This window comes from Homo sapiens, chromosome 5, assembly GCF_000001405.40.
Source record: "Homo sapiens chromosome 5, GRCh38.p14 Primary Assembly".
Lineage (NCBI taxonomy): Eukaryota > Metazoa > Chordata > Mammalia > Primates > Hominidae > Homo > Homo sapiens.
Genome location: NC_000005.10, coordinates 159,980,647 through 160,007,862, shown reverse-complemented (window position 1 = coordinate 160,007,862; position 27,216 = coordinate 159,980,647). Strand labels below are relative to the sequence as shown.

The following is a 27,216-nucleotide window of genomic DNA, read 5'->3' as shown; positions in this document are numbered from 1 at the left end:
GGGCACAGTGGCGCATATCTGTAGTCTCAGCTGCTCAGGAGGCTGAGGTGGGAGGATGCTTGAACCTAGGAGTCAGAGGCTGCAGTGAGCTGTGATCACGACACTGCACTTTGGCCTGAACAACAGAGGGAGACTGTCTATATTTAAAAAAAAAAAAAAAAAAAAAAGCAAATGGTTAAGCCTCTTTAAGTGGCCCTGTTAATTCAATTCTGGTGTAATGGAAAGACTGTAAACTTTGGAGCTAAATAAATAAGTAACTAAACCCATAAAACTTGAGTTACGGTCTCAGCTTCCTTTACTAGCTGTACAACTCTAAACAATAATTCCCATTGCTAATATTCATAGACTATACGCTTATTAAGCACCGCATGCTGTGAAAAATGCTTTAGGTGGCTTATTTGATTACTGAGTTCTAATTCAGTCTCTGCCACTGAGTAGCAGTGTGATTTTGGGGCCAGTTACTTATGCTTCTAAGGTTTTTATTTTACTTTTTTTTTTTTTAAGAGACAAGTTCTCACATTTCCCAGGCTAGTTTCAAACTCCTGGGCTCAAACAATCCTCCTGCCTCAGCCTCCTAACATGCAGGGATTATGGATGTGAGCCACAGGGCCCAGCCAACTTTTTAATGTATAAATTTACCTCATGTATAAAAACTGGGATCGGTAACAATGGTACCTACCTCACAAGCTTGTTGGGAGAAAAAATACCTAGAAGACAAGGAGCACAGGGCGCGGGAGAAAAAAATATCTAGAAGACAAGGAACACAGTGTTTAATGAATATTAGCAACAAAAATATTATATGGCAGGTCTTGTGCCAGTAGCTGGGGACAGAAAGCCTAATAAGACAGAATCCTTGCCCTTCCCCATCATCAGGAGCTCACAGACTAGTGGGGGAGTGGAGAAGGGAAATAAAGAAGTTACTGAGCCCAAAAGAAGAGCAATCTGCCTTTCTTTTTATGCCAAAAGAAACCAAAGTGCAACTGGCCCAATTTGGTAGGTCTTCACTAATAAGATACTCGAGTTAGGCTGTAGAAAGAGGAATAGTTCACTTAGTGGGGGAAAAAAAAAAACAAACCAGGATAGGTAGAAGGACATGGAATCAGGAGCATAAAAATATCAGAAGCATTTTTAGGAACAATAGGTAGTTGGATGCTGTTTAAGTGTATGTAGAACACAAAGCAAAAAACAAATTTTTAATGATGAAAGCCAACTCATCCATTCCTGGAAACATGAAGATTTTGTTTCTTAGTCCTTACAACTATCCTGTAAAAGGACAAGAAATGTTTTTGATTCAGAGGGTGGTTCTGTTTGTATTTTCCCAGGGCAGAGACCATGTTTGCCCTGTTTACAGTTGTAAGGGATCAGTGAACATCCTATTTCAGAAATTTATGGCCAAAACACTGGCCACTCAGCTCTCTGAGTTGAGTAAGCAGATACTGACACTTTTGGAGTTATAGGGTTGTTGTAAGAATTAAATGGTGTCATGTTTTATCTAAAACACAGAAAATGAAGTGCTCAAGATAGAAAAAATACTTAAAAATTTTTTTGAGGCAGGTTCTCTCTCTCTCACCCAGGCTGGAGTGCAGTGGCACAATCTCGGCTCACTGCAGCCTTGACCGCCTGGGCTCAAGCAATCTTCCCCACCCCAGCCTCCCGAGTAGCTGGGACTGATTACAGGCGCTGACTACCACACCTGGCTAATTTTTGTATTTTTTGTGAAGACGGGGTTTTGCCATGTTGCCCAGGCTGGTCTCAAACTCCTGAGCTCAAGCGATCCGCCCGCCTTGGCCTCCCAAAGTGCTGGGATTACAGGAGTGAGCCACTGCATCTGGCCGCTTTAATATTAATAGCACCTAGCACAGTAAGTACTCAATAAGTGTTTGTTGTTACTGTAATCATTATTACTATTAATGAAGATCTCACAGATATTACCATTATTATGATTAATTACTAATAGTGATTTTATTATTACTATGTTAATGAATACTACTACTATTATTAATAGTGGCAATATTTGTGAAGGTTTCATTCACACCCCCCAGATAGGGAACTGAGCACCCAAGTTTGTTGAAAGAATCAGTGCTGAACATAAATTATTGAATAATGAATAAATGCTAGGCATCATACTAGGTCCAGTGGTGGGTATAGCAATAAATCAAGAAAGTAGCAAAAGAATCAGTTTCCCTCTTTTTTTTTTTTGGGGGGGAGCAGGTCAGTGGTTTCTTAATGACACATGTCCATCACCTAATCAGTTGTATTGAGCCCAGTTGGTTTTGGGGATAAAACCTTACATTCTGGGACCCTCTAAGTCCTGAGCTCCATTCTCTCTGTTTCCCCGGGACTGAGCTTCTTGAGCTTGCCAAAGGAGGGTCTAAAATCCAGGAACAGTCAGGGATGCTAAAAGAACTCCTTGAGAATGAGATGTATATAAAAATAAATAAGGCTGGGCATGGCGGCTTATGCCTGTAATCCAGAACTTTGGGAGGCGGAGGCAGGAGGATTGCTTGAGGCCAGGAGTTTGAGACCAGCCTGGCCAACATGGTGAAACCCTGTCTCTACTAAAAATACAAAAATTAGCTGGATGTGGTGACACAGGCCTATAATCCCAGCTACTCGGGAGGCTGAGGCACGAGAATCGCTTGAACCTGGGAGGCAGAAGTTTCAGCGAATTGAGATCACGCCACTGCCCTCCAGCCTGGGCAACAAAGTGAGACTCTGTCTCAAACAAAATATATAATAAAATAAAATAAAAATAAATAAATAATTATGATGTAGATTATGCATTCCTACAGTGTTTCCAAAACATGCTTTTGTTTCTTATTTTTTCCCAGTTCCAATCTTTGAATTAAAATTTCTGATGAGACATAATCAAGAATTAGCATCCTGTGCATTTATGTCTACATTTTTGTTTTCCCTTAGATCAGCATGCCCAATAGAAATACAATGTCAGCCACATATGTAATTTATTTATTTATTAGAGACAGGATCTCACTCTGTCACCCAGGCTGAGTGCAATGGCATAATTCTAGCTCACTGCAGCCTCAAACTCCTGGCCTCAAGTGATCCTCTCATGTCAGCCTCCCAAAATGCTGTGATAACATGCATAAGCCACTGTACTGGGCCACACATATTTTATTACTTTATTTTGTGACAGGGTCTCACTCTTGTCACCCAGGCTGTAGTGCAGTGGCACAATCATAGCTCACTGCAGCCTTGACATCCTGGGTTCAAGCCATCCTCTCACCTCAGCCTCCCAAGCAACTGGAACTACAGGCGGATGCCATCGTGCCTCTTTTTTTTTTTTTTTTTTTTTTTGTAGAGAGAGGGTCTTGCTATTTTTACCAGGTTGGTCTTGATTTCCCGGCCTCAAGGTATCCTCCAGCCTTGGCCTCCCAAAGTGCTGGGCTTATAGGTGTGAGCCACTATACCTGGTCAAATTTTAAATTTCCTGGTATCGGCATTAAAAACAGTAAAATAAGTAAAATTAATTTAATATTTACTATTATTAAATGCAATTAATGTTTTATTTAATCAAATATGTCTAAAATATCCTTTGGGCATGTGATGAATATAAAAATGTTTATCAAGTGTTTTTTTTTTTTTTTTTTTGAGACGGAGTCTCACTCATTCTGTCGCCCAGACTGGAGGGCAGTGGCACGATCTCAGCTCACTGCAACCTCCAGCTCCTGGGTTCAAGTGATTCTCCTGCCTCAGCCTCCTGAGTGGCTGGGATTACAGGCATGCACCACCATGCCCAGCTAATTTTTTGTATTTTTAGTAGAGACGGGGTTTCGCCATGTTGGCCAGGCTGCTCTTGAACTCCTGACCTCAGGTGACCTGCCTGCCTTGGCCTCCCAAAGTGCTAGGATTACCGGTGTGAGCCACCGTGCCCAGCTGTAACAAGTTATTTTACATTCTGTTTTTCTTACTAAGTCTTTGGGATCATGTGTGTATTTTATAGTGTATCTCAATTTGGACATCAAATTTTCATCAAAAATACTTGAGTCTGCATTCACATTTCATAAAATCTATATTTTAAAAAATTGATTCATATATGTAAGTTTTTTCAAACATACTTCCCAGTAACTGAATTGAATATCAGTTTTTAAATTTAAATTAATTAAAATTAAATAAAATCAGAAATTTAAGTCCTTGGTCGCACCAGCCACATTCCAGATGCTCAGTAATCACATGTGGAGAATGGCTGGTGTACTGGACAGGACAGGCTTAGACTTTCCAGAACAACTAACTATTATTCATAGAGAATTTACGTGCATCAGGGGCTGTGCCCATTACATTTGTAATTGCAGGTAATCTTTACAATAACCCTGACCTCTCTTGTTTCTTATAATCTTTTCACAAAGCATCAAAACTGATCTTTTCAAAACATGAATCATGGCTGGGCATGGTGGCTTATGCCTGTAATCGCAGCACCTTGGGAGGCTCAGGCAGGAGGAGTGTTTGAGGCCAGGAGTTCGAGACCAGCCGGGGCAGCATAGTAAGACCTTATTTCTAAAAATAAAAAATAGCCAGGTGCCATTGCACGCACCTGTCATCCCAGCTACTCGGAAGGCTGAGTGAGGAGGATTCCTTTACCCCAGGAGGTCAAGGCTGCAGTGGGCCACATGATCACACCACAGCACTCCAGCCAGACCCTGTCTCAGAGATTTAAAAAAAAAAAAAGGAAAAGAAAATATGAACCTTGTACAATTCTTTTATTGACTTCCCACCCTGATTAGAATAAAATCTAAAATCCTTACCATTATGCATAAAGCCCATGTGATCGGGCCTCTGCCTCCCTCTCTGACCTCATCTCGTACCACCTTCCCTCTTGATACTATACTACTCTCTGTTCCTAAAACAACATTTTTTTTTTTTGAGATGGAGTCTTGCTCTGTCGCCCAGGCTGGAGTGTAGTGGTGCAGTCTTGGCTCACTGCAACCTCCCAGGTTCAAGCGATTCTCCCACCTCAGCTTCCCAAGTAGCTGGGATTACAGACGCACACCACCATACCCGGCTAATTTTTGTACTTTTTTTTTTTTTTTTAGTAGAGACGAGGTTTCACCGTGTTGGCCAGGCTGGTCTTGAACTCCTGACCTCAAGTGATCTGCCCGCCTCAGCCTCCCAAAGTCTTGGTGTTACAGGCGTGAGCCACCACGCCCGGCCCTAAAACAACACCTCTTTTCCCATCGCCACACCTCTGTGCTCCATGTTCCTGTGGCTTGATACCATTAACAGCTCTTCCCATGGTTATTGCTCATTCTCACACTTCAGGTCTTCAATGTCACTTAAGTAGCTCACTCTATTACATCACCCTCTATATCCCCTCCGTATCGTTTATCACCATCTGTAATAATCTTATTTACTTGATTATTATAGTGCCTTCTATTAGATGGTAAGATCCACAAGGATAAGGATCTTGTCTGTATTATTTGCTGTGAAATTTATAGCTTTTCACAGTGTCTGGCACACAATAGGCACTCAAATATTTGTTATGCAGGTGGATGAAATTGGTAAGTACTGTTATTGCAAATGATAAGACTGAGAGGCTCAGAGAGGTTAAAAGTTTTTCCCAAGGTCACACAGTTAGTAGAATGGATCAGGGACTTAAAACCCAGTCTAACCACAAAGTCTATATTCTTCTAAAGAACAAAAGTGCTGGGCAGATTTAGTAACCTTAACTGCAAAGAGGAGAAGTGACTTGAAGGTGATTTATATCTATAAAAAAAAAATGTGGATATATATTTGGCAGGAAAACTCAGCCGTTTCTCAGTGTCAGGCAAATGGCTCAGAGCCTGGTTAAAGATTAGGCTTTTAATGCTGGTGTTGGATGGGTGGAGGGACCAAGACTGACACAGTCTTCGAAAGAGTTATCCAGAGGCTGCCCAGGCAAGCATTCTGCTCCCACTCACTTGAGTGCTCATTCCCCTTTTGCCCTCCACCTTGGTCTTCTGGACAAAGATAATTCACTGCCTCAACCATAATGGAATGGCTGACCTGGCTGACCTAGCATATTCCCCTCACTGCACCCCCCCACCCTCGCACTCATCAGCTGGACCCAAACAGTTTATTCTGAGTTGTGAAACTTACTTCCAACCCTCACTTTATTATATGAAATGTCAATGTTGGTTTTAAAGCATAAAGCATTGTGTCCCATGATATACAAACCATTGCAAGTTTAGGCAGGTGGCCAATTTTGGTCCAGCTGGTGGCAAGGGCAGGTGTCGGAAGGAAGGGGACATTTGCTGAGTGCTGACTGGGTGCCAAGCACCGCACAGAACACCTTCAGCTGTCATTTAGACTCATTTTGAAGGGGAAGGAAATATTTTCACTCCAGAAAGGAGACAGATTTCTTTGTCATCCTCTGTTCAGGTCAAAGCAGAGATAGTGGGTTTTTGGGGAGCTGACTAAACTACAAATTCCTCAGCAACAAGCTCACTCTGGGGATTGAGATCTCAGCTTGGAAGTTCCCACTCTGGGGGCTCACATTTTAAAGAGGATGACTCTACCCTCCACCACTCCAGTTATCCACAACTGCTCAAACGCCGTTGTCACACAAAAGCAGCCATGCACACCACATAAATGAACAAGAATGCCTGTGTTCCAATAAAACTTTATTTATAAAAGCAGGCATCAGGGGGGACTTGGCCTGTGGTCTGTAATGTGCTGACTCCTGTTTTAGAGATGAACTGTGATATCAGACTGGCCAAGACTGAATCCCAGCTCTGCTCCAACAAGTCCTATCACCTTGGACGAGCTCCTTAACTTAAGTAAGCTTCAGATTCCCTATTCGTAACATGGAGACAATGACAGTATTTTCATCCCAGGGCTACTGGGATGCATAAGAGAATTAACATATGTAGAATACTCAGAGCCTGTCTTTTAAAAAGTAACAGCTGGGTGTGGTGGCACATGCCTGTAATCCCAGCTACTCAGGAGGCTGAGGCGGGAGGATCACTTGAACCCAGGAGTTCAAGGCTGCAGTGAGCCATGATTGAGCCACTGCACTCCAGCCTGGACAACAGAGTAAGACCCTGTGTAAGGAAAATGAAAATAAGTGATCCACATGCCTCAGCCTCCCAAAGTGCTGGGATTACAGGTGTGAGCCACTTCCCCCAGCATAATCAGTTGATTTTTTAAAAAATACATATAAAAGTGGACTTTTCAGGACGGGATGGTGGCTCGTGCCTGTAATCCCAGCACTTTGGGAGGCCGATGCGGGCAAATCACTTGAGGCCAGGAATTTGAGACCAGCCTGGCCAACATGGTAAAATCCCATCTCCACTAAAAATATGAAAATTAGCTGGGTGTGTTGGCAGGCGTATGTAATCTCAGCTACTCGGGAGGCTGAGGCAAGAGACTTGCTTCAACCTGGGAAGTGGAGGTTTCAGTGAGCCAAGATTGCACCATTGCAGTCCAGCCTGGGTGACAGAGAGACGCTCTGTCTCAAAAAAAAAAAAAAAAAAAAAATGGGCTTTTCTTTTTTCTTTTTTAGTAGCATAGAAATTTCCTCAAGCCTGACTTTTAGCGGCATTATTTATATGACTCAAACCCCAACATCATCCTGAAATTCTCTTGAAGCGAGAAAAAAAAAAAGAATAGCTTCCAGTGTGCAAATCAAACATCCTCCCCAACATAAATATCTCAGACTATTTCCATAAATATTTGGAGAAACTGATCAAAATAGTAGCTTGTTTAGGAACTATCTTGCTTGTCCATGTAGACTACTTCACTCACAGTACCCTGTGTCTTTTAGTTAAAGACTATGAAAGCATTCAGCAGTACTTCAAACATAATTTGAAGTACTTTCTTAAACATAATTTAACAAATAAGATATTCATAGCCTGGGCATGGTGGCTCGTCCCTCTAATCCCAGCAGTTTTGGAGGCTGAGGTGGGAGGATCACTTGAGGCCAGGAGTTCAAGACAAGCCTGGGCAACATAGACCCCATCTTTACAAAAAATGAAAAATTGGCCAAGTGTGGAGGCATGTGCCTGGAGTCCCAGTTACTTGGGTGGCTGAGGTGGGTGGATCACTTGAGCCCAGGAGATTGAAGTTGCAGTGAGCTTTTGATGTGGTTTGGATCTGTGTCCCCACCTAAATCTCGTGTTGAAGTGTAATCTCCAGTGCTGGTGGTGGGTCCTGATAGGAGGTGATTGGATCATGGGGTCAGTTTCTCATGGTTTAACACCATCTCCCCTTGGTGTTGTGGTCACAATAGTAAGTTCTCGTGAGATCTGCTTCTTTAAAAGTGTGTGGCATACCCACGTTTTTTTTTTTTAATGGCAAATCCACACTGTCAGATAAGGCCCATGGCCTTTCTAGTGTTTTCCTGCACTGTCCTTAAAATGTGACCATAATGTCCCTCTTTCAGGCAGGAAGAAATGTGACAAAGATAAAAGGCATATACAGGGCCAGGTGTGGTGACTCACACCTGTAATCCCAACCACTCAGGAGACCAGGGTGGGAGGGTTGCTTGAGCCTAGGAGTTTGAGACCAGCCTGGGCAACATAGCAAGATCCCCTGCTACAAAGGTAGAGGGTGTAAGGTATTTCTTTATAGCAGTACAAGAACGGATTAATACAGCTGTGTTCACACCACTGTACCCCAGCCTGGGTGACAGAGTAAGACTCTGTCCTAAAAACAAACAAACAAACAAACAAAATATATTTGTAGATCTTTACTTGGCTATTTGAAACATTAATTATGGCTACCTAAGCTGACTTTTAGATGAATATTTAATAAGTATTCACAGATATCCAAAGACACAGATTATGAACAAGACAAACCAACCTTCCTTATTTTTCTGTCCTTTGTCCATTTATCCCGGTTTAGAAGTTGTAGACAAAATGAACTGTGTTTGATCTATAACTTAAAATCACAGTACATTGACTCAAGCTTTTCAAAGAGCCTAAGATAATTGGAGCTACAAGACCCATTGGCGAAATCTCATTTTATCTTCTATTTTCGTAAGTAGTTCCATCCAAGTGCACTTAAGATGCAGTTCCCCCTTTATTATTGAATTTTATATGAATTCAGCCCTAAACTGGCACTAAAAAGATAATATATGGTTGTAGCAGGACACTTACATGGAAGTGACAGAAAAACATCAGCGTCTCTGGGAAATAGGTCTCAAGTTGAAGAATATAGTAAGACTCAACATTCACTCAGCACTACAGAAGCCGATCCTGTGTAATTGAAAATGCGTAAGCTCTGCATTCGTGTGTGCTTACATGAAGATTACTTTGGTTCCCCTAACAGCTCTGAGCTAGACAAAGCAAGTATTACTTCCATTTTACCGAAGAGAAACTGAGGAAATTGAGAGCTGAAAGGACTTGATCAGGAAGACCACGATAGCTTATGACAGAGTTATATTTATAGCCGGAGGGACAAAGAGATCTCTGTCCAGTTCTTCATCTCATTTGTTCTATGAACTCCTTTGGTGGGCTGCTGAAGCCTCTGGATCGCTTCTCAGAGAAATTTTTTTAAATGCATAAAACAAAATATACTGGAATATGAAGGAAATAAATTATATTGAAATACAGTTCCTATAATACTAACAATAAAATTAGCAAGATATATATATCTACGTATCTACATATTCTGTTTGTCTACACACACACTCCTTTTTATTAACACATTAAGTATAGCAGGTGTAATAACTACCACAATTTTGAAGTAGTGATGAGTATATTCAATATTTCAAGTCATCTGAAACAACTGTAATATGCTATGAAATATCTGATATTCTTTTGGTGATAAAGTCAAAAGCTCTGCTAATATTACTATGTTCTATTGGCTAAGTTCATAAAAGAAGGAAAAACTAAATTTCAGTTAAAAGTTAGAGGCCAGGCGCGGTGGCTTACGCCTGTAATCCTAGCACTTTGGGAGGCCGAGGCAGGAGGATCACCTGAGGTCGGGAGTTTGAGGCCAGCCCGGCCAACATGGTGAAACCCCATCTCTACTGAAAATACAAAAATTAGCCAGGCGGGGTGGTGGTCATCTGTAATCCTGGCTACTTGGGAGGCTGAGGCAGGAGAATTGCTTAAAACTGGGAGGCAGAGGTTGCAGTGAGCCGAGATTGGGCCACTGCACTCCAGCCTGGGTGACAGTGCAAGACTCTGTCTCAAAAAAAAAAAAAAGTTAGTGAAGATAAGAATGTAATTTTCCCCCTATCTAAAGTCATGACCCTTCCCTCTAAATTTTATCCATTGTCCCTTTAGGGGTTTGTAGATCTCAAGTTAGGAACTCCTTATCTAGTCCAATCCCTCATAAAGCAGATGAACAAATGAGGTCCAGAGAGGGAATGTGATTTATCTAAGACATTTTAGCCACATAGCAGGGAATAAACTAGAACCCAGAGGTTGGTAATTCCTTCTCTATAAGGCTGTTATGAGGAATAAATGTAACAATATATGTAAAATCTTAGCACAGTACCAGTGACACAATAGGCATTTGTAGAAAACTGGCCACACAACACAGTAGAAGCAGAGAGATGAGACTTTCTGGAAATCTCTGTAACAGAGGGCAAACTCAGCTGTATGTGTCTTTTTGTTTGTTTTTATTTGATTTCAAAAATTCTTTTTGCCACACTGGAGGAGAATGTTTGTTTGTTTGTTTTTAGACAGTCTCACTTTGTCACCCAGGCTGGATTGCAGTGGCACGATCTTGGCTCACTGCAACCTCCGCCTCCTGGGTTCAAGCGATTCTCCTGCCTCAGCCTCCCAAGTAGCTGGGATTACAGGCACCCGTTACCATGCCCGGCTGATTTTTGTATTTTTCGTAGAGACAGGGTTTCACCATGTTGCCAGGCTGGTCTCGAACTTCTGACCTCAGGTGATCCACTGGCCTCAGCCTCCCAAAGTGCTGGGATTACAGGCATGAGCCACCACACCTGGCCAGTTTGTTTGTTTTTATAGACAGAGTCCCACTCTGTTGCCCAGCCTGCAGTGCAGTGGTGCAATCATAGTTCACAGCAACCTGCAGCTCCTGGGCTCAAGTGATCCTCTTGCCTCAGTCTCCTGAGTAGCTGGGACTATAGGGGCGTACCACCATGCCTGGATAATTTTTTGTTTTTAAATTTCTTTGTAGAGGGGATCTTGCTATGCAGTCCAGGCTGGTCTCAAACTCCTGGGCTCAAGCAACCCTCCCACCTTGGTCTCCTGAGTGGCTGGGATTGCAGGTATAAGCCACCACACCTGGCCCTGTATGTGCCTTTTGTCTTTGCCATATTTCTTCCTGCCTGGAAGAGGGACATTATGGCCACATTTTAAGGACAGAGTAGGGAAACACTAGAAGGGCCATGGGCCTCTCCTGACAGTGTGGATTTGCCATACTATCCCCACTGTCCCCAGACTGCCTACTTCCAGACTTCTCATATGAGAGAAAAAATAAACAAACAGCCCTTTTTGATTTGTTCAAGCCACTGTTATGTGTGTTCTGTTATGTGCAGCCAAACTCACTCCCCTAACTGATACACAGCTCTTCCTGGCTGGGTGACTTACTCTCTCTGAGCCCTAAGTCCTTCATTTAAGGTTTTTTGGTGAGGATTAGAAGATACAGAGGACTTAGGCAGTGCCTGGCACAGCAAAAAGCAGCTATTATTATTATTACTGTTTCAGTGGATTGCAGTTCAGTGCTCTTTCTACCAAATTGACTCACAGCTTAAAAATCACTCACACAGACTCAAAATCCCATTAAGCCCTCCCCAACCCCAGCCCGCTTTCTCCAGCTGCAGCTTTGGTCCACTGCCTCAAAGTCAGCCTGAGGAAATACTTACCATGTCCCAGGGAGAGGAACAGTTTATGAAAATGCTGACACAGACGAAACACCTAATAATTAGTGGCTAACAACCACAGACATGGAGGCAATTAAGAGGGTTGTGTAAATTGAGGGGACTAAAGCAACTTCTCTTTTATTCCTCAAATGTTTTGCCTAAGCCTCCGAGATATTTCTTCTGCCAGCAGTGCTGACTTTACAGGAAGAAAGTGGGATGAGAAGTGGTGGAGAGTTTGTAGGAGCTGTGAAGAAGCTTTGGACTCCAGATGCCTTCCCTGTTCCAGTGACCACTCTGCTAGGCTTTCTTCCATATGAGCTGGGGCCATGTGGGTCGTGCGGGGCATGCGTGAGCCCGTAGGACTTACAAGGGTTCAAGGGGCAAGGATGGCCTGTGGTTCCCGAAGGCACACTTGGCCTACAGTTCTGTCGAAGGATGGTGCCATTTATCTACCTGGCTCTTTTGTTTTCTTTGACACTACTTCCTTAGCACTGATGGTTAGGGACCACCGAAGATGTTAATGCCTGCCAAAGTGGCTTCCTTAGATGTCGGGCTTAGAAGTGAGGCACATGTCTTTCTCTACTGGGGGCTGGTTGGGTCCCCAGAAGTACACTGGGCAGGCTAAAATTTGGAATCCCTTCTAATTAATATCCCTTTATCATCATCATCTTTATAAAAATAACACAATTTAAAAAATCTAAGCGTTAAAATAGGACTAACTTGGAGCCCCAGTACCACTCTCCAGAAGTGATACTAACAGGAATGAGACCAATGAACTTTTCCTGTAATTTATCCCAGCGATGTTTTAGCATTTATTTAGATTCTCCCTCTCCTTTCCTCTCCCCACAACCACCCCAGGGAGCTCTGTTTTGCTACTTAATCCAGCTGTCTATATGAAAATGTGGGAGCTCTCAAGGCATCAGCTCGACGGACATGAGGAAAACTCTCAAATTTCCATTTTCTTATCTAGGGAGATTTTCCTAAGGGCTAAGGCACAGTGAGTTGCTTTTGTTATTCCTTATAATGAACAGCCCTTTAGATCTTAGATTTAGAAATAATGTTCATTTGGGATTCCTTAGTAATTACTGCTCTGGACGGCTCTTGGCACAAGATGAATGATGAGAAGGAATATGAAGTCTTGTGGGGGGTGCTCTGAGAGTCATCTTGACCATGCTTATTTCTTACAGGAACTGACACCGCCAGTAGCATCCCCTTGGAAGGCTGAGTATGACCAGCGGTGTGAGCACAACTTATGAAGGCCTATTTCTAGAAGATTCTCTCACCCCTGCAGGATAGGTGAAATATGGGAGGCAGTGAGAGTGACTGGGCATTCTCTTCCCTGCTGTCCCTTTCCATGCTGAGGGCTTCTGTGATTGAGTCACATCAGTGTGCCCAGTTACTCCTAGGGCCTACACAAAAGGTCTTGGACCTGAAGCCAGTTTCTGTCTCCTCAGCTTTATTTTCCAAACTGCAGGCCTCCCTGGCCCATTGCTGTTGCTCCATAAAGTGACACAGTGGGGTGGATGAAGCAGGTGTGATCTGTTCTTAGCCAAAGCTTTGTCCACAGCCTGTAATTTCTTATTTTTTCTTTTTTTGAGACAGAGTCTTGCTCTGTTGCCCAGGCTGGAGTGCAGTGGCATGATCTTGGCTCACTGCAACCTCCTTCTCCTGGGTTCAAGTGATTCTCCTGCCTCAGCCTCCTGAGTAGCTGGGATTACAGGCGCCTGCCAACACACCTGGCTAAATTTTATATTTTTAGTAGAGACGGGGTTTTGCCATGTTGGCCAGGCTGCTCTGGAACTCCTGACCTCAAGTGATCTGCAGGCCTCAGCCTTCCAAAGTGCTGGGATTGCAGGCGTGAGCCACTGTGTCCAGCCAACAGCCTATAATTTCTAAAGGATTGATGGGCTGTAAGTCCTGCTTTCAGTTCCCAAGTAGTAGCATCAGTAATTGAATAGTGTACTGTTTCTCAAACGTCAGTGATTAGCATATCTACATTATGATTTTTTGTATTTCTGCAATCTTCTGTTATTTAAGTAAATTTAAAAATAATTCTATCACTTTTTGACTCAGTAAAATTTACTTTAAGAAGAAAAATATTATGTCATCTGTACAGTTGAAATACTAGTGTCACTTGTGCTAAAGGGATGCTTTTAGTAGAAATAAGTAAAATAGAAACAAAATAATGTTATTAAAATTGAGCTCTGAGGTTGTCTGCCTAAATTTCCGAGGCTGAGGTCTGATATCTCTTTACTTAAAGAAATAAACAAGTTGGGGGTAGCGGCTCAGGATTGTAATCCAGTGCTTTGGGAGGCCAAGGTAGGAGGATCCCTTGAGGCCAGGAGCTTGAGACCAGTCTGGAGAACATAGGGAGACCCTGTCTCTACAAAAAGGTAAAAAAGTAAAAAATTAAAAAAAAAACCCACACATAAAGAGATTAGCAAGTATTAGAGGGGTGTTAGGTGTCTACTAGTAAGACAGTTCTCTGGGTAGCCTTGGACCCAGTTCTCCCCCTCATCTTACTTATAGTTCTCAAGAATAACTATAGAATGTGCTGGGAATATAATATCCTAAGATTTGGAGGAGCTGACTGGAACAGCTTGGGCTTTGTTTCAGTCCCTCCTAGAAACAGGATGCCCTTCAATGCTTTAGCTCAGCGAGTCCCATATCCCCTGGTATAAAACCCAGGATGAGCTGCTTTCCAAGGTCCTTCAGCTGTGGTGCAAGAGGGGCATGTGCAGAAGAGCATTCATCTGCCCCAGGCAGCTTTTCCTGAGCCTTGAGGGACTGGCTAATTGTGAATCCTGGGCTTCTGTTGTCCCTTGCTGCCTATCTGTGAGTAATAAGCCCATTTCATGTAATGGGTTGCGTGTGTGAATTTCTATCTCAATTTGGCAAGCAATTGGTGCACAGTGAACCTGCTTTGCACTAGCACCAAAGCAAGACTTTCAACTTGACACAATCAGAAAGAGTAAAAGAGACTGAAAAGAGAGTAACTTTTTAATTTTGTGGTTTAGTATTATCGTTGCCTATTTGGTACTCTACTTAAGTTATCCTATAGGTAGGCAGAGTGCAAAGTACACTACCTGGGCAGTTTATGGTGTCTTAGAAAGTTAGAACCTGAAGGGCACAGTGAGCTCAACTTCCTTCTTGCATAGATGAGGGAAGTAGGGTCCCAAGGGGGAGGTGAGGACAAAATAACTTAAATTTTTTAGTGCAGTAAAATACATATAACATATAATTTCCTATTAGTAACACATAATACATTCATAATGTTGTGCAACCATCACCATTACCAAGTCCCAGAACATTTTTATCACTCCAAAAATAAATTCTGTACCTATTAAGTCATTCCTCATTTCTCCCTTTCCCCCGCTGTGGCAACCACTCATTTGCTTTCTGTTTTTATAGATTTAATCTGGATATTTCACATAAATGGGATCCTACAACATGTAGGCTTTTGTGTTTGGCTTCTTCTTTCAAGATTTGTTTATGTTGTGGCATACATCAGTACTTCTTTCTGTTTTATGGCTAAATAATATTCCATTGTATGGATATACCTCATTTAAAAAACCCCTTTATCAGTTGATGGACATTTGAATTGTTTCTACCTTTTGGCTACTATGAATACAGATGCTATGAACTTTTGTGTGTAAGTTTTTGAGTAACCTGTTTGCAGTTCCTTTGGGGATATACCTAGGAGTGGAATTGCTGGGTCAAATGCTTATTCTATGTTTAACTGATTGAAGAACTGCCAAAATGTTTTTTTGTAGTGGATTTGCCATTTTACATCCCCATCAGCAGTGTGCAAGGATTCTAATTTCTCCACATCATTGTCAAGACTTGTTCTCATTAAAAAAAAATTACACCCACCGTAGTGAGGAGGATAAATTAACTTTAATGCAGCACAAACTCCCTCTCTCATCCATCATCCCTCCACCCCCAACCAGATTGAGCTTTCCAAAATGCCCACCTGGATCACATCACCTGCAAAACTGGAAATTTTCCTCCCTATTTCTTAGGATGAAGACAAAAATACACCCAAAACTCTCAAGATCTGCCTACCTTCCCAGCCTCCTTATGACTCTCTCTCTCTCCTTCAATCAGTACCATCCACACTGGCCTTTCAGAAAGCACCCTCCGGCAAAAGCCACTGCCTGAATTGTTTCCTCTGACTGCAATGCTCCCTTCCCACCCCACCTCTAAAGCTCAGCTCAATCCAGGCATAATGGTGCACACCTATAGTAGCAGCTACTTGGGAGGCTGAGGCAGGAGAACTGCTTGAGCCCAGGAGTTCAAGGCCAGCCTGGGCAACATAGTGGGACCCCCATCTCTAAAACAATAAAAATAAAAAAGCTCAGCTCAAGCTCCATTCCCTCAGGAAAGTCACCCCTGAACATCTCCTCCCTCCCCACCTCCAACTAGGCCTGGGACTTGGTGATCAGCCCTCAGAGCACTGTGCATCTCTCCTTTGTAATACTTACTCTTGTCTGCAATTATACATTTATTCACGCCATTAATTGATTATGTGGGGGAGCTCCACTTTCCCCCGCTTATGAGGCAGAGAGAGACAATGAGGGCTTGGAAGTTGTTTGAACCTAAAACAATTGTCTCCTCTCCTCTCCGTTTGGTCCAATGCAGGCTCACTCTAATTTCTCCTTACTCTGCATTCCTTAACTGAAAGACCAACTGTTTCTCCCCACAAGCTTCATCAAGCAAGCAGGGTTTTTTGCTTTCCTTTTTTTTTGGACAGGGTCTGGCTCTGTCAGCCAGGCTGGAATGCAGTGGCACAATCATGGCTCACTACAGCCCCCAACTCCTGGGCTCAAGCAATTATCTGGACTCAGCCTCCCAAGTAGCTGGGACTACAGGTGCGCACCACTATGCCAGGCTAATTTTTAAATTTTTTATAGAGACAGAGTCTCCCTACATTGCCTAGGCTAATCTCAAACTCCTGGACTCAAGCAATCCTCCCACCTTGGCCTCCTGAAGTGTTAGGATTATAGGCGTGAGCCACCACACCCAGCCTGCATTCTTTTTAAATAAAAAAATTACTTATAGGACAATAAAAAGTGTGCACTTCATTGAAATTAAATATGCCTGCTTTTCAGAAGACACTATTAAAGAAATGAAAAGACAGGAGAAACGAAAAGACTGGGAGAAAATATTTGCAAAGCATATATACGTTAAAAGAATTACACATAATGTAAATAAATAACTTACATCTCAATAAGAAGAGCAAAATTGCCAATAAAAATGAGCAAAAGATTTAAACAGACACATCACCAAAGATGTACAGCGGGCAAATAAGCACATAAAAAGATGTTCAACATTATTAGGCTTTAGGGAAATACAAATTAAAGCCACAAGAGAGCACTACAAACCAATTAGAATGACTAAAAATGAAACAGAATAATATACTAGGTGTTACTAAGGATGTGGAGCAGCCAGAAATCTCATGCATTGTTTGGAGAAACATGAAATAGCACAGCAACTTTGGAAAACAGTTTGGCAGGGTTTTTTTTGTTTTGTTTTGTTTTTAAGATGGAGTCTGGCTCTGTTGCCCAGGCTGGAGTGCAGTGACATGATCTGGGCTCACTGCAACTTCCACCTCCCAGGTTCAAGTGATTCTCCTGCCCCAGCCTCCCAAGTAGCTGGGATTACAGGCACCTGCCACCATGCCTGGCTAATTTTTTTGTATTTTTAGTAGAGACGGGGTTTCACCATGTTGGCCAGGTTGGTCTAGAACTCCTGAAGTCAGGTGATCCGCCTGCCTTGGCCTCCCAAAGTGCTGAGATTACAGGCGTGAGCCACTGCACCTGGCAGTTTGGCAGCTTTTATAAAATTAAACATACACTTACCATACAACCCAGCAATCTGACTCCTAGGTATTCATTCAAGAGAAAGGAAGACCTGTATGCAAATGTTTATGGCACCTTTATTTACAATCTAATGTCCATAAACTGGTGAATTAATAAACAAATTGTAGTATATCCATACACTGGAATACCACTCACTGATAAAAATGAATGAATTACTGACACATACAACAACATGGATGAATCTCAAAGGCATTATTTTAAGTGGAAGAAAGCCAGACATAGAAGGATACATAGGGTATGATTTCATTTATAAGACATTTGGGAAAGGTAAAACTATAGGGGAGATTAGTGGTTGTCAGGGCTGATGAAGGAAGAGGAGTTTAACAGCACAGGGGCCTGAGAGAGATTTTTGGGGTGATGAAAATGTTCTGTATTTTGATTGTGGTGTTGGTTATATGATTGCATACATTTGTCAAAACCTATCATACACTTAAAATCTTACACTTAAAATAGTGAAATTCATTTTATATAGTGAATTTTATTTTATATAAATCTTACCCCCCCAAAAAAACTGACTTAAAAGACTTACTTGAAAATCAACAACAAACACAAATAAGTTGATTTAAAAAATGAGCAAAGGACTTGAATAAATGTTTTTCCAAAGAAAATATGTAAATGTCCAATAAGCACATGAAAAGATGCTCCACATCACTAATGATTAGGGAAATGCAAATCAGAATCTCTGTGAGGTATCATCTCACACCCATTAGAGTGCTTACTATAAAACAAACACCAGAGTGCGGTGGCTCACGCCTGTAATCCCAGCACTTTGGGAGGCCTAGGCGGGTGGATCACGAGGTCAGGAGATCGAGACCATCCTGGCTAACACAGTGAAACCCCGTCTCTACTAAAAAACAAAAAATTAGCCAAGCGTGGTGGTGGGAACCTGTAGTCCCAGCTACTCGGGAGGCTGAGGCAGGAGAATGTTGTGAACCCAGGAGGCAGAGGTTGCAGTGAGCCGAGATCACACTACTGCACTCCAGCCTGGGCGACAGAGCGAGACTCCATCTCAAAAACAAACAAACAAACAAAGAAACAAAAAAACCAAACACCAGAAAAATAACAAAGTTGGTGAAGAGGTGGTGAAAATTGGAACCCCTGTGCACTGTTGGTGGGAATGTAAAATGTGCAGCCACTGTGGAAAACAGTATTGGAGTTCCTCAAAAAAATCCATTTCTAGGCATATATCCAAAAGAATTGAAAGCAGTGTCTGGAAGAGATATTTATATGCCCATCCTCATAGCAGCATTATTCACAATAGCCAAAAGGTAGAAAGCAGCCCAAATGGCCATCAATGTATGGCCTCAAGTAATCCTCCTGTTTTAGTCTCCTGAGTAGCTAGGAATATAGGTGCATATCACCAAACCTGGCTAATTTTTAAAATTTTTTTTGTAGAGATGGGGTCTTGCTATGTTGTCCAGGCTGGTCTCAAGTTCCTGGGCTCAAGTGATCCTCCCATTCAGCCTCCTAAACTGTTGGGATTGCAGGCATGCACCACCATGCCCGGCCACAGATGTAATTTGAATTTTATCTCCCTAACTAGTTCTGAAACTCTCTAGGAAAGAGACTCAGGTGTAGACGTACCTCTATGGCATGGGTGAGTTCAGTAAATCTACTTCTGTAGTGTCAGTTGGACTTTCTGTCTCTTGGTTGTCTCCTCCTGGAGAGGGGAAGGGCCAGTGATACAGAGAATCTCAGCATTGTAAAGGACTGTGGTCTCTTACCACTTTTAGAGTCTGACACCTGCTGAGATGCATATTAGCTTCCTAAAGCTGCTGTAACAAAGCATTACAAAATAGTGGCATAAAGCAACAAACATATTGATTCTCTTGCAGTTCTGGAGGTCAGAAGTCTACAGTCAGTTTTACTGGGCTAAAGTCAAGGTGTCAGCAGTGGGATTCTTTCCCGAGGCTCCTGGGGAGAAGCTGTTTCCTTGACCTTTCAAGCTTTCAGAGTCTGCCCACATCCTTTGGCTCACGGCCTCCTTTCCCCATCTTCAAAGTCTCCCATCTTCAAAGTCAGCAGTGTGGCATCTTAAAATGTCCGTCCCTTTGTTCTCCTGCTTCTGTTGTCACATTGTCTTCTGTCTGTTTCCTTTTGTGTTCCTCTTATAAGACCCCTTGTGATATCAGGCCCACCAGGATAATCCAGGCTAATCCCCCCATCTCACGATCCTTAACTTGATTAGATCTGCAAAGTCCCCTTTGCCATAACGGGTAACATTCACAGGTTCCAGGGATTAGGATGTGAACATATTTTGGGCGGCCGGCCGAGGGGGGGCATTCTTCAGCCTACCACAAAGACTACAAAGTCCACGAGGAGAAGCGACACGTCTGCTTGATCACTACTTACCACCAATGGCTTGCACATTGCCTGGCACTTGGTCCATAGACCATATAAAATTAGTCAGACTCATGAAAAGTGTGCACCCCTTTTCCAGAAAAATATTACATTGTTTATAGCATTTTAGAGAGCTCCCAGATTCCCTGAAGCCAGCGCACGGACCCCAGGTTAAAGCATTCCTAACCTAGAATTCTAGAATATCTGACTGCATCTATGAAGGAATAAGGGAAGTGCCGCAGGGCCGCACCAGCTGAATTGCCAAGCAGCCTCGTTTCTTTGCACTCCTGTCGCTTAGGCGCGTTGGCCAGCGGGTGGCGCGCGGGTCCACCTCAACGCCGAGCTTGCCCCACGTCAAGCACCTGCTCAGGGGAAAGGGGCGTGGAGCGGGCTCGGTCACTGCAGTGTCTAAAGAGCTGCTTCCCAGTCTCTGCACGTAAGGAGGAAGGATGCCCCGCTCCAGGCGGCGAGGAAAGGCCCCAGGAGGCTTCGTCTTCTTTGCTGCGCTCTGCTGGAGACGCCGCGGCGCCGGCCCGCTGAGCCCGCAGGAGAGACCCGCGCACCTGGGCGCCCCCGCCGCAGGAGGATCGGAGCTCCTGGCAACGGCAGAAAACACAGAAACCCGAAGGCAAATATTTACGGGCCTGCAGAGGAAGAAACTGAAACCTCTACGCGTGATTTAAAAGGCATGATAACAACTGCTGTTTGGTTTCTGGAACCGGGCTCGTCCAGCTTCTTACAACACCGTCCTTTAGCCCGTAGGCCCGGCTCCCCCGCCGCTGGGGGCAGGGTGTGGACGTTAACCACCTGGGAAGTGACGGGTCGATGACAAGCTTACTTTCTCTGGAGCCATCCTGGGTTCTAGGGACCCTTAAGGCAGAGGGCAGGTAGAAGTTACACCTGGAAGCAGCACCATCAGAGATTGGGAAAGAGAGGAAGCTGCTTTTCCAACTCGGTGTTTAGCAAAGTGGACCCTGTTAAGACAGTAGGCGCCGTTGAGGGGGGAGTAAAACCTAGCCCTTACCCGGCAATGTAAGCTGGATCACCCATGCCCCTGGAATTACGATGGGGCTAACGTCTCCAAAAACCCATCGTAAAGTGGATAGATCGTAAATCGAGCCCTCCTGAGTCACTGACCATCTGTGCAATGCTTCTCAATATCTGGTCCATGGACCAACTGTATCATTTCTTTAAAACGCAGATTACTGGGTCTTATTTCTATCTGCTAAATCCGTTAGACGGGGCTGGAGGTGACTGTGAGTCGGTATTTTTAATCAGCTCACTGAGTGATTCTTCTCCTCTCTGAGTTTGAGAATCACAGCTCCAGCTCTTGGTACTAAAAGCTGTCGGTTCAAATAAAAGAGCCAGCCTCAGAGCACACACCTCTTTTCCAAGATGACTCTCTCTAGTCTCACAAGTCAGAGGGTGCAAATTAGGTCACGTGAGTGTGAATAATCAATATTTTCTGTCTAGGTTGGATATACTGGCTTACACCTGTAATCCCAGTGCTTTGGGAGGCCAAGGCAGGAGGATCACTTGAGGCCAGTAGTTTGAGATATGCCTAGGCAACATAGTGGGGCTCTGTCTCTACAAATTTTAAAGATTAGAAGATCATGGTGGCATGCACCTGTAGTCCCAGCTACTTGGGAGGCCGAGGTGAGAGGATCCCTTGAGCCAGGAGTTCGAGGCTGCAGTGAACTATGACTGTGTCACTGCATACCAGCCTGGGTGAGCATTGTCTCTTAAAAGAAAATCTGTCTATTAGTCCTCACCTGTGAAACTCAGGCCCTCTTAAAAAGGCTCCCTAGATATTTCTGGGGGCCCTGTGGGTTCCTTTCTTCCCACCACCTTCTTAATAACTGCTTTCAGCAAGTTGCATTAAAGAGTAGTCACTGCTGCTGATGCTTCTGGTGCTTCTGTGAGCTCTCCTTCTCCTTCAGGGCTATGCTATGTCCCAGCCCTCCCAAAGTTGCAAAGCCTCAAGGGCTAGACGGAACTCTCTTCCCTTCAGGTCCCACAGTGCCTTGTTCCAAGCAGAATGCTCCTCTTCGCAATGCAGGATCAGGCTTTGTCACCAGGTCCCAGAGGCAGCACTGCTTGGCCTCTCAGTGATCCAGAGTCCTTTGAGGAAAGAGTTTCTTCCAAGATTATTTCCAGTCCTTTTCCAGACCCTTTGGTGTGCTGGTAAATAGCTCTACAAAAAAGAAAAGAAAAAGGAGCCCTGATGTGTAGTGTTTGTCAATTTCTGTGGTGTACATATTCCCATCAGCATATTTCAAGCTGTTGGTACAATGTCACTGAACACAAAGTTGAACAGAGATGCTTATAAACTGCTCTGAGCCGGTACAAGTCAGCTTTAGCATGCTACTACTTGGGGCCTGGCCAGAGACCAGATATTAAGACATCATTCATTCATTCAATAAGTATTTAAGGAGTGCCTGCTGTGTGCCAGTTATTATTCCCTGATACAGGAATCCAGAAGTAACCAAAGTAATTAAAGTACTTGCTAAGGTGGATTTCATATTCCAATGGAGGAGATAACCCATAAAGAAATAAATAATAGATCAGTTCATTACATGTGATAATTAAAAGGTAAAACCAGGTAAAGAGCTGCAGAGTGACAGATGATCTGTTTTAGAATGGGTAATCAGGGCCTCTTTTAGGGGGTCACTTATTGAGTCCTGAAGGGTGTGAAACCTGTAAATATCTGGAATGAGCACAGGCAGAGGAAACAGCAAGAGCAAAGGCCCTAAGAAGGGACTGTCCCTGGTGTGTTCATTAAGGGGACCCATGTGGCTGAAGTGGAGTGAGGGAGGGGGTAGTGTCGGAAGAGGAGGTGGGAGAGCAATCAGAGAGGGGCAGACCATTGCAAAGTGTGGATTTTATTGTGATGGGAAATCACTGGAGGGTTCCAGCAGAGGCATAGTCTCATTTACTTTTCTTTTCTTTTTTTTTTTTTTGAGATAGAGTTTTGCTCTTTTGCCTAGGCTGGAGTGATGTGGCCTGATCCTCACTGTAACCTCTGCCCCCCAGGTTCAAGCAATTCTCCTGCCTCAGCCTCCCAAGTAGCTGGGATTGTAGACACTCGCCACCATGCCTGGCTAATTTTTTTTTTTTTTTTGTATTTTTAGTAGGGATGGGGTATCGCCATGTTGGCCAGGTTGGCCTCAAACTCCTGACCTCAGGTGATCCACCCACCTCGGCCTCTCAAAGTGCTAGGATTACAGGCGTGAGCTACCACGTCCGGCCTCATTTACTTTTCAAAGAGATCATTCTGGTAGCTGGGGAGGAGCTGCAAATTGACAGTTTTCTGAGGTGGAAGCACAGAGGTTAGTTAGGAGGCAACTGCAGTTGTTCAGGCTGGAGAAGATGCAGTGGTGGTGGCAGTGGAGGTGGTGCAAAATAGATGGATTCTGGGCAGCTTCTGATGCTTGATGTGGGGTTTAAGGGTCAGACAGAAGTCAAGAATGCTCTAGGATTTTTTATTTTGTGCAATCAGGGGAACATTGGTCCATTTCCTGAGATGGGGGAGCAGCCATTGTGGGAAAGAAACAAAAGGTCAGTTTGGAACATGTTAAGTTTGAGATGCCTATGAAAAGCCTGAGCTGGTGACATAATCTGGGAGTCACCATTGTGGATAAACTTAAAGTCATGGGAGTGGAGGAGGTAACCAGGGAGTGAAGAGAAAGGCCTAAGGACTGAGTCCTAGAAACCTCAACATTTAGAGATTGGGAAGAGGAGAAGTTTCTCCACTGAGAAGGAGTGGTCAGCGAGGTTGGAAGCAGTATGAAAGAAGTGCTCAAAAATAAAAAGCAGTGTATCAGTCACACCAAATGTTGCTGAGAGGTGCAGGAAGGTGAGGCCTTGGCTCTGGCAGCATCAAGGCCCTTAATGACCTTGACAAGCAGGGTTCTCAAGGAGAAGTAAGGATGAAAGCCATCTTCAGTGGATGGCAGCAAGAACGCGGGGAGGGAAAGTGGAGTCAGGGAGTATAAACGTGGAGTGCTTTAATTAGGGGAAATACCAGAGTAGTTTGGTAACTGGAAGCCAACATGGGTCAACAGAGGAAGAAAAGGAGAGATCAGTGATGCTAGAAAAAAAAATCTTGTCTCTCTGCCCCCAGAGACCCACCTGCAAAATTCCACTTCTTGCAGAATCCTGTGACCCATGCATGCCATTTTATGCAAACAGATGATTGGGAGGACCTGGGAGTCACTAATGCAGCAGACACAATCAAACTTCAAATCCTAATTTCGGTTCGGCTGGCACCCTTGCCACATTCCCACGGCTAAGACGGTGATGAAGATCGTTGTTCATCACTGTATCTTAAGCGTGTCTGGCTGAGAAGAGGCCCCAATGGCACGCGGTGAGCGGGTGTTGAAGGAATACCTGTCTCTGTTACCTTAGTAATGAGAGTGAGAGACCGTGGTGCCAGAACACATGGGGTTTAAGGCTTGTAATGGGGTGAATCCTAACAGAAGGCATCTGGTGCTCTCTGACATCTCTCTGCAGGAGTTTTCCGGGTGGGGATGGGGGATGGTGGAGAGGAAAGCCTTGTCCAGGGTATTCTCTTGGACAGATCACAGCCCTGGACTAGCTGGCCCTTGGGGCTTTCTGAAGCAGCAGAGGGATCTGGTTGGGATAGGGAAGTCCTGCTCACTCTGTCCTGTGGGGAAGCCACCAGCCTCTGCCTTTGGAACCCCTTCATGAGAAACCTTTGGGCTCATCCTGGGTCAGGTTGAAGGGGAAGGAAGGTGGTTACTTTCAACCCTGAATTCTGCAGCAGGTGCGTCCTCATCAATCCCTGCACTACATAAGATTTTGAGGAGTGGCCTTCAGCAGGATTAACTGAACATCATCCACATCAGATTGAGTCAGAGCCACGTCCTGCATGTGTGTGCACGCACGTTCAGAGCATCTTAGTAACTGCCTTCGGATAGGGACTGATGAAACATTTAGGTAGTGAGTGACTGGATAATATTTTGTGATATTCATTCATATTTCTGCCCCCACCCATCCTTTCCCTGGATTCAATCAGGTAGCAGGCTTCGTGCCTCCCTCCTTCAAGTGAGGTGTTGCGGAGGGAGGGAAGCAGGAGAAACTTGCAATTTTCCTGGCTTTTGTTTTCTAAAAGCTAGAGACCAGAAAGAGGATAGAGGTAGGTGGGAGCTTGGAGGAGCAGGAGGATGAGAGGTGCTTCCTTCCAGGTACAAAGGAGGATTGTCCAGGCTGGGGGTGCACAGAACAAGGTTGGTTGGCTGCATGACTCAAATCCTGGCTCTGCCACCTAGAAACCATGTTATCTTGGACTAATTACCTTGACTTTTCTAAGCCTAAAAATGAGACAGTAATAATGTCTACCTCATTGATGTGTTGTTCTAACATTGTGGTTTTAGTCCCAGTGTTCTGGGTTGTTGATATTAAGTTTTGGAGGTCCCCGAGACACAAAGTTGCCTACCTAAATTGGATGGGAAAAAAGTCAAACAAGAAAGCACATCTCTTCCTGGCTTTATGCCCTCTGACTCCTTTGCAAGTCAAGACCAGAAGATACCAGACCTCAAATATTTCCCATCATTTCATTAGCTCTGTCAAGACAGAATGGACTTTTCTAGGGCACCTGTTAGGTGTCCAGTCATTTATTATTGTTACTTTCATCACCATTATGGGGATTGGCTGGGCTCAGCTAGTTGATTCTCACTTAGGAGTTATTTACATGTCTGACAGTTGAGGCTGACTGTTGGCCGGGACCTTAGCCGGTAGGAACATCTCCATGTGGCTTGAACTTTCTCATAGAATGATGGATGGGTTCCAAGGGTGAGCATTCCGAGAAAGAAAGACAGGTGGAAACAGAATCACCTTATGTAACTTTGGAAGTCCCACAGGTCACTTCTGCTGCATTACATGCAAGGCATGGGTGATTAGGCTTCACCTCTTAATGACAGGAGTGCCAAAGAATCTGCAGAAATATTTTAAAACCACCAGACCTTTCTAAGTATGCATCACTGGGGATTACAGGCGTGAGTCACCGTGCCCAGCCCCAAATTAGCACTTTTAAAAAAGTGACATCTAGGCTGGGTGCGGTAGCTCACGTCTGTAATCCCAGCACTTTGGGAGGCCGAGGCGGGCGGATCACAAGGTCAGGAGATCGAGACCATCCTGGCTAACGTGGTGAAACCCCATCTCTACTAAAAAATAGAAAAAATAAGCTGGGCGTGGTGGTGGGTGCCTGTAGTCCCAGCTATTCGGGAGGCTGAGGCAGGAGAATGGTGTGAACCTGGAAGGCGGAGCCTGCAGTGAGCCGAGATCGCGTCACTGCACTCCAGGCTGGGTGACAGAGTGAGATTCCATCTTAAAACAAGCAAACAAACAAAAAGTGACATCTAATAATACAAAATGGGAACTATTAGAGTACATTTTGTAAATATGGGTAACCTTCATGAAACTTTTGTTTCTTACGTGTCTATCCATCAGAGGTTTTCAATTGGGGGCTATTTTACCCCCCGGGAGGCATTTGGCTGGAGACAATTTTGATTGTCACAGCTGATGGTGGGAGATGCTGCTAGCATCTAGTAGGTAGAGGTCAGGGATGCTGCTAGACATTCAACAATTTGCAAAAAGTGCCCACCCCTGCCCAACAAGTAATTCTCCAAATCAAAATTTCAATAGTGCCGGGATTCAGAAATCTTGATCTATGTCTGTATCTATATCTGCATATCTGTATTTCTCTATGTATACTGGGTGGTAATGTAAAATGTATTTCATCCTGTGGGTTGCAGTTGGAAAGTTTGAGAGCCCCTGGCCTAGAAGTCTCTTCATGAGTCCAGCTCCTGGACCTTGTTTTGCCCCCAACATTTGCTCATTAGCCCCAGTTAGTATCTGCCCTTGCTCAGATGATTTGGATTTATGATTTGTTTTCTTCTGGTTTTTTTTATTGTGAGGTCTCCCAAAATAGTACTTATCTCAGGAGAGTTGAAGCATCTCATAATCTACCCTCGAGAGAGAGTCCTCTAATACCTCTTACCCCTGGTTCAGAGAGGTTTGCGCTTTCCTGATGGCTAATTCTAAGTCTCCATTTTCCCCGTTTCCTCACACTAGATAATGCTAATCACTAATACTGTTGGCTATTAGTTGAGCATTTCCTATATGCCCAGTACTTCTCAATTCCATGCATTGGCTCATTTATTTCTCATAGCAACTTTGTGAAGAAGATTCTATTAT

At 43.9% G+C, this 27,216-nt stretch overlaps 1 protein-coding gene across 1 annotated transcript in view, besides 1 other annotated feature; it reads right to left on the bottom strand.

Moving 5' to 3' along the window:
* Positions 6,650–6,850: a silencer, noted in NCBI's record as "peak5555 fragment used in MPRA reporter construct". NCBI's record gives its function as "represses an SCP1 promoter by STARR-seq MPRAs in K562 erythroleukemia cells {active_cell/tissue: K562}" and the evidence as "EXISTENCE:reporter gene assay evidence [ECO:0000049][PMID:32103011]".
* ADRA1B (adrenoceptor alpha 1B) overlaps positions 18,658–27,216 on the bottom strand; it is a 124,120-nt gene continuing 115,561 nt past the window's right edge. Inside the window, exon 2 of the mRNA XM_006714821.4 lies at positions 18,658–22,192. Coding sequence (XP_006714884.1) covers positions 22,146–22,192 — 47 coding nt within the window. The 3' untranslated portion in view covers positions 18,658–22,145. The remainder of the gene's footprint in view (positions 22,193–27,216) is intronic.